General features: G+C 48.9%; 2 annotated features.

Moving 5' to 3' along the window:
- Positions 9,786-10,286: an enhancer, noted in NCBI's record as "H3K4me1 hESC enhancer chr1:203569877-203570377 (GRCh37/hg19 assembly coordinates)". NCBI's record gives its function as "activates a minimal SCP1, AML or CMV promoter by ChIP-STARR-seq in naive H9 embryonic stem cells {active_cell/tissue: H9 hESC(naive)}" and the evidence as "EXISTENCE:reporter gene assay evidence [ECO:0000049][PMID:30033119]".
- Positions 10,287-10,787: an enhancer, noted in NCBI's record as "H3K4me1 hESC enhancer chr1:203569376-203569876 (GRCh37/hg19 assembly coordinates)". NCBI's record gives its function as "activates a minimal SCP1, AML or CMV promoter by ChIP-STARR-seq in naive H9 embryonic stem cells {active_cell/tissue: H9 hESC(naive)}" and the evidence as "EXISTENCE:reporter gene assay evidence [ECO:0000049][PMID:30033119]".

The following is a 12,921-nucleotide window of genomic DNA, read 5'->3' as shown; positions in this document are numbered from 1 at the left end:
AGGCCGAGGAGGGAGGACTGCTTGAGGCCAGGAGTTTAAGACCAGCCTGGGCAACATAGCGAGACCTCATCTCTACAAAAAATAAAAATTAGCCGGGCATGGTGGCGCATGCCTGTATTCCCAGCTACTTAGGAGGCTGAAGCAGGAGGATCAGAGATTGAGGCTGCAGTGAGCCGTGACTGCACCACTACACTCCAGCCAGGGTGACAAAGCCAGACTCTGTCTCAAAAATAAATAAATAAATAAATAAGATAAAGATCACACTTTTAAATTCAATTAAATGTAATTAATTTATTTTTATAAGGTTTCACTCAGTCACTAGGGCTGGAGTGCAGTGGCATGATCACAGCTCACTGCAGCCTTGAGCTCCTGGGCTCAAGCAATCCTCTCACCTCAGTCTCTCTAGTAGCTAGAACTACAGGTGCACACTACCATGCCTAGATAGTTTATGTTTATTTATTTTTTATTATAGACATGGGGTCTTGCTATGTTGCCCAGGCTGGTCTTGAACTCCTCACCTTAAGTGGTCTTCTGGCCTTGGCCTCCCAAAGCCCAAACCACTGGGATTACAGGCTATCACGCCCAGCTAAATGTCACACTTCAGAGAGGTCACATCATTAGGGTATTTCTCTACCAACAAGATATCGCTCGAATGCATTAGACTGGCAGAGCCGTCTTCTTATGGTGCACTGCAGACCGATCTGTCAGCCGCTCCTTCTGCTTGTTCCCTTCCTCTGTCTTCCTAGTTCCTGCATCTATCTTGGCTCCTGGCCAGGTCATTTTTGAATTACCATTGACAGAAGCAGTACTCGTATGAATTATCTCCATGGCATTCTTTCCCTCTGGCCTCTGCTTCTTCATCTGGAGATTCTGAACCTTCGTAAGAAGGGCATCCTATCCAGCAAACACCTGAAAGATGGAAAGCATATCCCAGTCCAGGAAGAGTGCAGCAGCCCTGCCTGACAGGCTCCTTTATCTCCTCTGAGAGCCCTTGCCAATCAGACAGGGGACCAGTGCCTTTCAGTTCTTAACATGGCTGTGTGCATCTGGGGAGGCGTTCACAGATGCCTCCCTGAGGCTGGATGCTGGGGCCCTTCTGGATTCAAACTGTTCCTTCAATGACCGCCACCCCCTTGTGGAACCCAGACAATTGGCTGCCCCATGGACTGCCTGCACTATGCCCTATTAGGCTGATGAGATACCCAGCACCACCTGATTTCACATTAGCATGGAGACACTTGTGTTCCCTTGGACGCTGTTCCTAGCTTGCCTGAGGTTTGCCCCAGCCCCAGCCTCTGTAGCTATGTCTGCATTGATGTCTCAGTTTGGGTCTGCCTGGTTATTTTCCTTCCTAAAGGCCCCAGCCACCTTGAACTGAATCAGTATCATGGAAAACAGGAAGGTAGAGGAAGAAAAGCCCTCGGGGTCCCTCTGCAGGGCTTGTGCCTTAATTCTGGCTGTGGTGATGGGAGGCTCACTCACGCTCGCTCATCTCGTGCCTGGTTGGCCAGTGGCACAGAGCAGTATGGGTGGCTTGGACTCTGGGAGCCATCTATATCCTGGACCCTAAGCCCCAATCCCATTAGGCTAATGCACTAACTAAGCTAAGTCCATTTGTTTATTCAGAACACAAATAGCTTTAACTTCAAGTATGTGACTGGCTTTGTACCAGCTGCAGGAAGAGTTACAAAAAGGCTGTGGTATAGTTGGATGTAAACACTTACACACATGAAGAATGAACCAGTGACATACTAAAGCAAGGCATGGGCCGGGTGTGGTGTCTCAGGCCTGTAATCCCAGCACTTTGGGAGGCTGAGGCGGGCGGATCACCTGAGGTCGGGAATTCGAGACTAGCCTGACCAACATGGAGAAACCCCGTCCCTACTAAAAATGCAAAATTAGCCGGGTGTGGTGGTGCATGCTACTTGAGAGGCTGAGGCAGGAGAATCGCTTGAACCCTGGAGGTGGAGGTTGCAGTGAGCTGAGATCGCGCCATTGCACTCTAGCCTGGAGTGTCCTAGAATGGTCTGTGATGTGTTGTTGAGTGGATCAGAAGAGAAATGCTGTATGTTCAGAGTGGTGAGATGAGTGGACACTGGGATTGTCAGAGAAAGTCCATCAGGAGTTGATGTGGATCTTGAAGGTTTCAGGATCTAGACCAGGCAGGCCTGGCCTCCCAGGGAACGGCTGGAACCAAGGCAGGGAGGCCTGAGCTTTAGAGGAATCATCCCTCAAGGAATATCAAAATTGAAGCCAAGGGTTTCTGTTGGGGGTCAGTGGAAGATGACAGTGTGACTCTTAACAACTTTGGGGAAAATCAAGAACTTGGATATCAAAATAGTGAATACCATTTGTTGCTGAAGTGCTTTATACAGATAAAGGACTCACTAAATCCTTAAAACAATCCTGGGCTGGCGTGGTGGCTCATGCCTGTAATCCCAGCACTTTGGGAGGCCGAGGTGGATGGATCACGAGGTCAGGAGATTGAGAGCATCCTGGCTAACACAGTGAAACCCCGTCTCTACTAAAAATACAAAAAAATTAGCTGGGCGTGGTGGCGGGCGCCTGTAGTCCCAGCTACTCAGGAGGCTGAGGCAGGAGAATGGCGTGAACCCGGGAAGTGGAGCTTGCAGTGAGCCGAGATTGTGCCTCTGCACTCCAGCCTGGGTGACAGAGCGAGACTCTGTCTCAAAAAGCAAAAGAAAACAAAACAAAAAAAACAACCCCATGAAATAAGCACTATTATTACTACCTCCCCCATCCCCTGCTGTTTTTTTTTTTGTTGTTGTTTTTAGATGGAGTCTCCCTCTGTCACCCAGGCTGGAATGCAGTGGGGCAATCTTGGCTCACTGCAACCTCTGCCTCCCAAGTTCAAGTGATTCTCCTGCCTCAGCTGCCCTAGTAGCTGGGACTACAGACACATGACACCACGCCCATCTAATTTTTGTAGTTTTAGTAGAGATGGGGTTTCACCACGTAGGCTGGTCTCGAACTCCTGACCTCACGTGATCCACCTGCCTTGGCCTCCCAAAGTGCTGGGATTACAGATGTGAGCCACTGTGCCTGGCTCTTTCCCATTTTTAAAGATAAGGTAGCTGAGGGCTGGGCATGGTGTCTCACACCTGTAATCTCAGCACTTTGGGAGACCCAGATGGGTGGATCACTTGAGGTCAGGAGTTCGAGACTAGCCTGGCCGAAATGGTAAAATCCATCTCTACTGAAAATACAAAAATTAGCCGGTGTGCTGGCATGCACCTGTAATCTCAGCTAATCGGGAGGCTGAGGCAGGAGAATCAATTGAACCCAGGAGATAGAGGTTGCAGTGAGCCAAGATTGCACCATTGCTCTCCCGCCTGGGCAACAGAGAAGACTCCATCTCATTTCTTTTGAAATAAAAATAAATAAAAACTAAAGATAAAGGAAGCTGAGACCCAGAGAGCTGAAGGCCTCAGAGATGTGTCAGGATTTGAATCTGTGTGCTGTCAAAATACTTGCTTTTCTCATCATGCCATGCTGCCCACCCCAACCCACCCCAGCCCCTCTTTCCTGTGGGTCTTGGTGACTCATCCTCTTTCTTGGCAGACATTGTGGTTTTCAGACATTGTGGTTTTTGATAACTCAGTAAATGAAGTCATCCTGTTGTTGTTGCTGTCTCTGCTTCTTGGGCCACGCTCCCGCCCCGGTGTCCTTGTGCTGCCTCAAGGCTCCTGGTTGCTGGAGCAGGAACTCTGTAGCTACTGTTGCTTTTTTTGTTTGTTTGTTTTATAGTGTCTTTGAAAGAACATGATTTCCCCAGGGGGTGAGCCAAGGCCATTTAAGTGATATGCTCAATGCTATCTAACAATGTCTTTCTTGTTTTTTTTTTGAGATGGAGTTTCACTCTTGTTGCCCAGGCTGGAGTGCAATGGTGCGATCTCAGCTCACTGCAACCTTCACCTCCCAGGTTCAAATGATTCTCCTGCCTCAGCCTCCCGAGTAGCTGGGATTACAGGTGCCTGGCACCATGCCTAGCTAAGTTATCTAACAAGGTCTTTCTTTTTTTTGAGATGGAGTTTCACTCTGTCACCAGGCTGGAGTGCAGTGGCGCGATCTCGGCTCACTGCAACCTCCGACTCCCTGGTTCAAGCGATTCTCCTGCCTCAGCCTCCCGAGTAGCTGGGATTATAGGCACATGCCACCACACCAGGCTAATTTTTGTATTTTTAGTAGAGACGGGGTTTCTCCATATTGGTCAGGCTGGTCTTGATCTCCTGACCTTGTGATCCGCCCACCTCGACCTCCCAAAGTGCTGGGATTACAGGCACGAGCCACCGCGCCCGGCCCACAATGTCTTTCTTATAGATCAAGAACCAGTGTTCTTATCTCAGGGTGTGTTTTCTGCCTTCCCAGGCCTCGCCACACTCACAGTACAGGGGGCAGCCTTCATCTTCCCTTTTTGCTTGAAGCCTCAAGCCTGATGTTTCAGCAGCCTGATGCTCAATCCCAAAGGCCTTTACCTTTTTCTCAGTGCCCTCCTGGCCCTTGTAAATGTGATGTATTGGTTGTCAGCATCAGGGTTCCAGAATTCCCAGGGTAGATGTACAATTAGGCTCACACCGTGCCCCTTGCTTGTGGAGACCATGGAGGGAAGTAATACCAAAGAAAAGAGGAGAGGAAAAGGGAAAGAGCTAACGTATACTGAGTAATTTCTACAAGCTAGGCACCGTGCCTTACATAAACAGTCCTGAGTCACTTAACAAACAGAGCTACAGTCTGAGAAATGCATTGTTAGGTGATTTCATTGTTTTGCAAACATCATAGGTATACCCACACAAACCTAGATGGTGTAGCCTACTACACACCTAAGCTGGATGGTATAGCCTATTGCTCCTAGGCTATAAACCTGTACAGCATGTTATTGTACTATAGGCAATTATAACACACTGGTGTCTAAACATATCTAAACATAGACAAGGTACCATGAAAATATGGTATTATAATTTATTTATTTATTTATTTATTTATTTATTTATTTTTTGAGATGAAGTCTCACTGTTGTCACCCAGGCTGGAGTGCAGTGGCGTGATCTAGGCTCATTGCAACCTTCACCTTCCAGGTTGAAGAAATTCTCCTGCCTCAGCCTCCCGAGTAGCTGGGATTACAGGTGTCTGCCACCACGCCCAACTAATTTTTGTATTTTTAGTAGAGATGGGGTTTCGCCATGTTGGCCAGGCTGGTCTCGAACTCCTGACTGATATTATAGTTTTTATGGGACCACAATCGTATATGCAGTGTGTTGGTGACCAAAATGTCATTATGTGGCATATAACTGTATCTTAAGGTTTAATCACAGTAACATGATAGCAGTACTATTGGCCTCATTTTGCAGTTGAGAAACTGGTTGCTCAGAGAGGTTGGAGTAACCTGCCCATCAGTGGCAGGGCCAGGATTGGCACCAGGTCAGCTTGATTTCAAAATGTTGTTTTGTCTTCTAGACAACAAAGCATCATTGAAGGTGTCCAAGAGGAAACTGAGAGGCCAAAGCAGCATTTTGGGAAGATTAATATGACAGCAGTGGGTGGAAGGAATGGGAGAGAAGCAATGCCGAAGCTGTGGGGATCCACTAGTAGGTTACACAACAACGTCAGCTTGAGAATCCTCCAGGAGGACAGCAGAAGCAGAAAGGAGGTGCAGCTGTGAGAGACAATGAGAAGCAGAGATTAGCAGTCCTTGGCAGCTGAGTAGTCTCAGACTTGACAAGGAAATCCTCCTTTTTCTGATTATTTAGGGTCCTGCCATATGTTGGTGGCCTATACCAGGGATAAGGCCTGTCACTTCTACTTGAGTTATGCAGGAGCAGAGAAGGCAGGGAAACACGTGTGGTGAGAGGGTGCCTTGCTCAGCTCCTCGACAGGGCTAGGGTAGGTAGTCTGCCATCCCTGGTCAAGGCCTAGGCCTTTGGAAGTTCTAGTTACCCAGCCCAGGATATAGCATCTTGTGTGTTCAATAAATGGTAATTGGTGGTGGTGAGCTCAGAAGCATCTCTAAAATAGAGAGTGAGCCATCACTGTTTACAAGCAACTCCTCTCCCCAGCTGGTGGAAGCACATGGATCTAATGACTCCTTTCCTGGTGAGGAAACCGAGGCTCAGAGGTTTCATGGCTTTCCCACGGTCTCCTGGAGAGCCAGAGGGCAGAGTTAGGGTTCAAATGCATCATTCTCAGCTCTGACCTAGAGTCCTGTTGCCTTCCCCAGCTTGTCTCTCTTTGGTGTCAGAGAAACAGGGGGAATTAATGATAAACCTTCACATGAGTAAGGCCATTTACAGTTTACAAAACTGCTTCCCATCCATTATCTCATTTGATCCTCACAACAACTGGGTATTATTATACTCATTTTGCAGATGGAGAAACTGGCTATGGTCATTCAACTGTGACTGAAAGAGCTAGAATTCAAAATGAAGTTTTCTGACTCCAGGTCTAAGCTCTTTCCTGGAGGCCATGAGAATAAGGGAGCAAATGAAAAATAGAACAGCAAAGGGGAGAAGAAGTGTTCAGGTGAGAGCAGCAAATGCAGCATAGATGGTGCTGGAGGGCTTCAAGTTAAACACAATAAAAGCTTCTGGGCAGGAAAGATTGTTCATCACAGGTACCAGCAGCTGGGGGAAGCTGGTTTATCTGGGGAATTAGCTTGGTTTTTAGTAGAGGCTGATTGGTTGAAGAGATAATCTCTAGAAAAAATATTTCCTGCTTTCTTACCCTTGGATATTTGCCGCCTTCTTACCCTTGGATCTTGTGAAGAAAAAGAAGCAGGAGAGAGAGGAAAACACTAATGTTAGCATTTGCCTTATAGATGCCCAATAAACTATATTGAGTGGATGGTTGAATGGATGGCTGGGTGGGTGGATGAATGGATGGCTGGGTGGATGGATGAATGGATGGTTGGGTGGATGAATGGATGGATGGGTGGATGAATGGATGGATGGGTGGATGGGTGGATGGATGGATGGATGGGTGGGTGGGTGGATGGATGGATGGATGGATGGATGGGTGGATGGATGGATGGGTGGGTGGGTGGATGGATGGGTGGGTGGGTGGGTGGATGGATGGGTGGGTGGGTGGGTAGATATTCAAGTGGGTGTGTGGATGGGCCATGGATGGATGGGAGAGATTTAGGGAAATTGCACATCTCCTTGGGCAACCTCATGGTCCTATTTACAACTCTTGAAGTTACTCTACCTCTGTTTCTCCCACCCTTTAACCCATCTACATTATCTGATGCTATAAATGATGTTCTTATCCCAGGAGGAAGAATTAGTGTAGCATTCAGAGAGAAGCCAGGAAGTAACTTCCTTTGTCCCAGGAAGGTGAATGGGATGGAGTATCTCTGTCCTCCAGTTCACTTGAAGTCTCTGAAGCCCTGCTCTAACCTAATAGTCAGGATTTCTGGATCCTGGGGGACCCTCCAGCTGCTCCTGTTGGAGGGGAACAGCCATCTTGTCATGGGGTGGTAGATATGGCATTTGTGGTTGGGCTCTAGAAAGACTAAGGACCCAAGGGATCGAGAACTATGCTCGCCCGAGGTCTCTTTACTCTGCAACTTCTTTGCCCGCCTTTCAGGGAAACATTGCAATGTGGCTTTCCCAAGCTAGTATGGGGTGGGGGTTGGGTAAGGCCAAAGGGTTAGAGATGATCCATACAGGGTGCACCTTTGTCCTCTACCTATGGTCAGTCCCTACTTGTCACCAGTAGAACCAGTAACTCTGGCCCTAAGGCTGCATGGCAGTCTTATACTGGAGAATTCATGGGACAGGTGTCCCGGTCCTGGGTTCTGATTCTAGCTCTGTCACTGAGTATGTCCAGTGTATAACACAGCATCTGCATGTAGTAGATGCTCACTATATATCCAATGAGAAGGCAAGGCGCAGTGACTGGCTCACGCCTGTAATCCCAGCACTTTGGGAGGCCGAGGATGACGGATCACCTGAGGTCAGGAGTTTGAGACCAGCCTGGCCAACATGGTGAAACCCCATCTCTACTAAAAATACAAAAATTAGCCAGGCATGGTGGTGGGCGCCTGTAATTCCAGCTACTTGGGAGGCTGAGGCAGGAGAATCACTTGAACCTGGGAGGCAGAGGTTGCAGTAAGCCAAGATCACACCACTGCACTCCAGCCTGGAGTCTCTCTCTCTATATGTAGACTATATATATATATATATCTTCAATGAGAGAGTGAACAAATGAATGAAATAATTAGCTGTGACCTTGGGCAGATTACTTTCCTCTTCTGGACCTTGGTCTCCATACCTGTAAAATGGGGATAATAATGCTGGCTCTGTCTCCCACTTACAGCCATCCTCAGCCTTTGGGAGTAAATGAACAGATAGATGTGAATGGTGTTTATGTATCATCCCACTCAAGGGACTACATGGTGGTTGGCATTTGCTGCCCCATGCCCCTGCACCTGCACATGCTAGCCAGGTCTGCTGCTCATCTCACGCATGCCACAGCCCACACCTCTCCAGATCCCTGCTATCCTGTCCCATGGAACTTGGTTGTCCCACATCCCCCACTTTCAGGGATCTGGCTCTGTTAACATGAAAGTGATACTATTTACCCTTTATTAACACCTATCTGTTGAGCATTTAGGTCATTATGTCCTCATAACGGTCCTCTGAGGGACTCACTGTAGTGAAGTGACCTGCCCAAGGCCACATAACACTTAAGTAGTAGAGCCAGGATTCCAGCCAGGTCTCTGAACCTGCTGCTGAAGCTTCTGGCCTTGTAGCTGTAAATTCTTGGTCTACCCAGGGCGGCAGTTTCATTCAGTGTGGTGAAGAAAGTACAACAGTCGGAGGTGCAAGACCTGCATTCAAGCTTAGGCTTGACTGCTACTAAGCTGGGTGTTGGCCGGGTGGGGTGGCTCATACCTGCAGTCCAAGCACTACAGGCCGAGGCTGGTGGATTGCTTGAGCCCAGGAGTTCATGAGACCAGCCTGGGCAACATGCCAAAACCCCATCTCCACAAAAAGTACAAAAATTAGCCAGGCATGGTGGCACATGCCTGTAGTCCCAGCTACTTGGGAGGTTGAGGTGGGAGGATCGCTTGAGCCCAGAAGGTCTAGGCTGAAGTGAGCAGAGATTGCGTCACTACACTCCAGCTTGGGCAACAGAGCTAGATCCTGTCTCAAAAAATAAAAATAAAAATGAACTGAGTGTCCTCAGCAAGTTTCATCAAAGTGCTAAATTGTGAGGATCAAAAGCAATGGTGTGTTCAAACCACTTAGTAATGTGTCCATCAAATATTGGAAATGATTTTTATAGGAGGTCTTCTAGAGGCATTGGTTTAACAGAAAGAAATGGCTATAACAGTGGGGATTACAGAGACCATAGCAGGCTGGTGAATACTTTGGGGAAAGAAGTCTTTCAAAGTTGCTTAGGTCATATGATGAATCCTGAGGGCAAACATTTGCTCCCGCTCTGGCTAGGAAGGCTCTGCCCTCAGGCTCTGGGAGTTCCTAACCAATAGCAGAGTCCTAACTCGCTGTGCCCCACAAATTGCTAGTTACCTAGGTCCCAGATTCACCTAAGATTTAACCCATAGTTCCTTTTTCTTTGGAAGAGCTTGCCCATGTCAGGGGAGAACTCTCCAATGTACCTGGAGGTCCCCTTTCTGCTTATGCTCAGCCCAGGGCCGGTGAGGCAAGGAAAGAAAATAGCTCAGTCATAAACTCATCCCAGCTGAGCCTCTTATGGAAATGCTGACAGACCCTTCAAGACTAGACGCCAGCTCCAGCAGTGGCGCCTTTCTAAAGCCCCGGCTGGGAGCTAAATATAGTGGCAGGAGGGATGGGGTGTGGACTTGGGGGATGGATGGGGAGGGGAGGGAAGAACTCTGGAGGAGAACAGGAGAGGGGAAGAGAGGAGGGGAAAAGAAAGAGAAATAAAGAAGGAGAGGGCAGGGAAGAAATTGAAGAAATGGGGAGAAAACAAGAAGAGGCTCAGAAAAGTTTTAGGGAAAGGGAGATGAAGAAGAAGGTGAGATGGAGAGCAAGCAGATGTGGCTGGACATGGGAGTGCGGCTCAGTGTTCGGGTTCCGGTTCCGTGTGGTGCAGAGAGCTAGCTGGTGGGGGCAGCCTAGAGGGGGAACAGTAGTAGTCCCAGGCTAGGCCCCTGTCTGGCTGGCCTGCAGAAAGCCCTCGGTAATTGTTTATCTGCCACAGCACTATTGGAACCAAGAGACAGCCCAATTCTCCAGACTCCAGACTCTGTTCTGCCTCCCCACATCTTCATCTGGGTGCAGGCCTGCCTCTAGCTGTCCCCAAGACAGTCCATAATGCGGCCTAGGGTCCTTCCAGTTAGCCTGGGGCCTCTGGTGGGGGTGAGGTGGATCTTTGTGTAATGGAGGCAGGGCTGTGGGGGCGGGGTGGCCTGCCTTTCAGTGAGGGTGGGAGTGTGGTACTGCATAGTGAGAGTGCAGCCTCAGACGTGCTTGAAAGAAACCTGCTTCCTCAGGCTGAGGGGGCAATGGGCAGGTTAGAGCACTGAGGTGGAAACAGGTCAGGAAGTGAGACCCAGCTGAACTGAATCAGACTCCTAGTGTCAGAGGTATTTGAACCAGAGTGACTCCATTTTGACTAGGAGCTGGGTAAAATAAGGCTGAGACCTACTGGGCTACATTCCCAGATAGTTAGGCATTCTACGTCACAGGATGAGATAGGAGATTGGCACAAGATACAGGTCACAAAGACCTTGCTGATAAAACAGTTTGCAGTAAATAAGCTGGCTAAAACCCACCAAAACAAGATGGTGAAGAGAGTGACCTCTGGTCATCCTCACTGCTACACTCTCACCAGTCCCATGACAGTTTACAAATGAAATAGTCATAAAAATGGGCAACTAGCAGCCCTCGGGGCTGCTCAGCCTATAAAGTAGCCATTCTTTATTCCTTTACTTTTTTTTTTTTTAAGTGAAAGCAAGTTTATTAAGAAAGCAAAGGAATGGCTACTCCATAGGCAGAACAGCCCCTTTACTTTCGTAATAAATTTGCTTTCACTTTACTGTATGTATTTGCCTCGGATTCTTTCTTGTGTGAGATCTAAGAACCCTCTCTTGGGATCTGGATCCAGAGCTGGTTGGACTGGGAGCTGGTTGGACTGATGGGACATGGGGGAGCCCTGGAAAGAGGGGAGGAGGTGGTGAAGCCCCAGCGTCAGGGAGGAGAAGCAGGAACTGGGGAACTGTCCTAGAGATATATGGGAAATTCGGTACATTTTGGTTAAAAATCTAAAATTATGCCACCATCATATGAAACTAAGTTTGCTTTCACAGCAACTACTTTTTTTTTGTTTGTTTTTGAGACAGAATCTCGCTCTGTTGCCCAGGCTGGAGTGCAGTGGCATGATCTCAGCTCACTGCAACCTCCGCCTCCTGGGTTCAAGCAAGTCTCCTGCCTCAGCCTCCAAAGTAGCTGGGATTACAGGCGCCCGCCACCACGCCCGGCTGATTTTTGTGTTTTTAGTGGAGATGGGTTTTGCCATGTTGGCCAGGCTGGTCTTGAACTCTTGGCCTCAAGAGATCTGCCTGCCTTGGCCTCCCAAAGTCCTGGGATTACAGGCGTGAGCCACCATGGCTGGCCCACAGCAACTACTTTCGAGGCATAGCTCTGGCCCTTTTGAGATATGAGGCGAAGCTCTGATCAGCCCCACTGACTGTGTGGGGTGGGAGGGTCTAGGGGAAGGAGAAAGGGCTGGGTGTGCTTTGCTGTGTAAGTCAGCAGTACTTAGTAGCTGCTCAGTAAACATTTGTGGGTGGTGATGTGGGCAGGTGTGTTGAGAGCCTGGAGAGCAAGAAACTGAACTCACCTCTTCCTTATCCCATTCCCCCTTTCTCCTAGGCTCTGGGAGGGAGAAGTGGACAAGGAAAGAGAGAAAAAGGAAGACCCAGTGAGAGAACAGGAGATAAATGAGTCTTGTCACCCTTCTGCCAGGCTCCACAAGAGCGGAACAGCTCCTGTGCCCTATGGGAAGATCAGCCATTATTTATGAGCTTGTCTGGAGGGGGCTATGCTGGAATATCTAGCTTTGCTCCCTCTCCCCTCAGCTGGGGAGGGGGTGTTGGGAGGAGCTTGTGTTGTCTGAAGGCTTGTGCCTTCTTAAAGGCACAGAGGCCCTTGTGGGAGCCTGGGGCGTCCAGCCACCCTGAAGCCTGCGCAGCTTCCCAAGTAAAGGAAAGAGAGGAAACTCAGACCTACTGCAGAGCCAACTCCATGATGGGGAAAGATCCTGAGACACTGGCTTGAAGGCAGGAAGGAACTTGGGGTTTCTGTGTACCTGAAGTCCTCAGAGACTGTCTCAGAGCTTCAGAACCCCTCCTGGTGCTGGCCCCACACAGCCAGCAGGGGACATACCAAGAATTAAAGGCTGGGAATATGGGGAATGGGTGGAGGCCTGAGAGAAAGGAGAATGGAAATAAAAAATGTCTATATCCCAGGTTTGGGTTCCTATGGCTGGTCCAGCCTCATTTATGGTTGGAGAGGCAATAGCTGAGGGTCCAAGACCCAAAACAAGGAGCCCAGGCAGAAAAGGGGGAGAAGGAGGGGCTGAGAGAGGTTTAGAAGGGAGCAGCAGTTAGAAGAGTTGGATGGGAAAGGAAGGGAGAAGCTAGAATAAAGCGATGGCTAAACAGTGGACATTGAAGACAGAGGAGGGGGTTCCAGGGATAAAAAGCAAGGCCAAGCAAAGCTAAAGGTGAGGTTGGAGAGCAAGAGGGACAAGATGGTGACAGAGACAGGAAGTGGGGGCCACAGAGCTCCTACAAGGCAGGAAAAGAGAGACGAAGGGAGCAACGGGCCAACAAAATCTCACAGGCTGGTGAGAAGAGGGGAACGGAGAAGGAACTCAGGCCTGGAATCTGGCAGGGGAGGGAAGAGTGGAGGTGAGA

The sequence above is a fragment of the Homo sapiens genome, chromosome 1 (genome assembly GCF_000001405.40).
Source record: "Homo sapiens chromosome 1, GRCh38.p14 Primary Assembly".
In the NCBI taxonomy this organism is placed as follows: domain Eukaryota; kingdom Metazoa; phylum Chordata; class Mammalia; order Primates; family Hominidae; genus Homo; species Homo sapiens.
The sequence above is the reverse complement of the archived record's forward strand: the minus strand, read 5'-3'. Positions and strand labels throughout refer to the sequence as shown.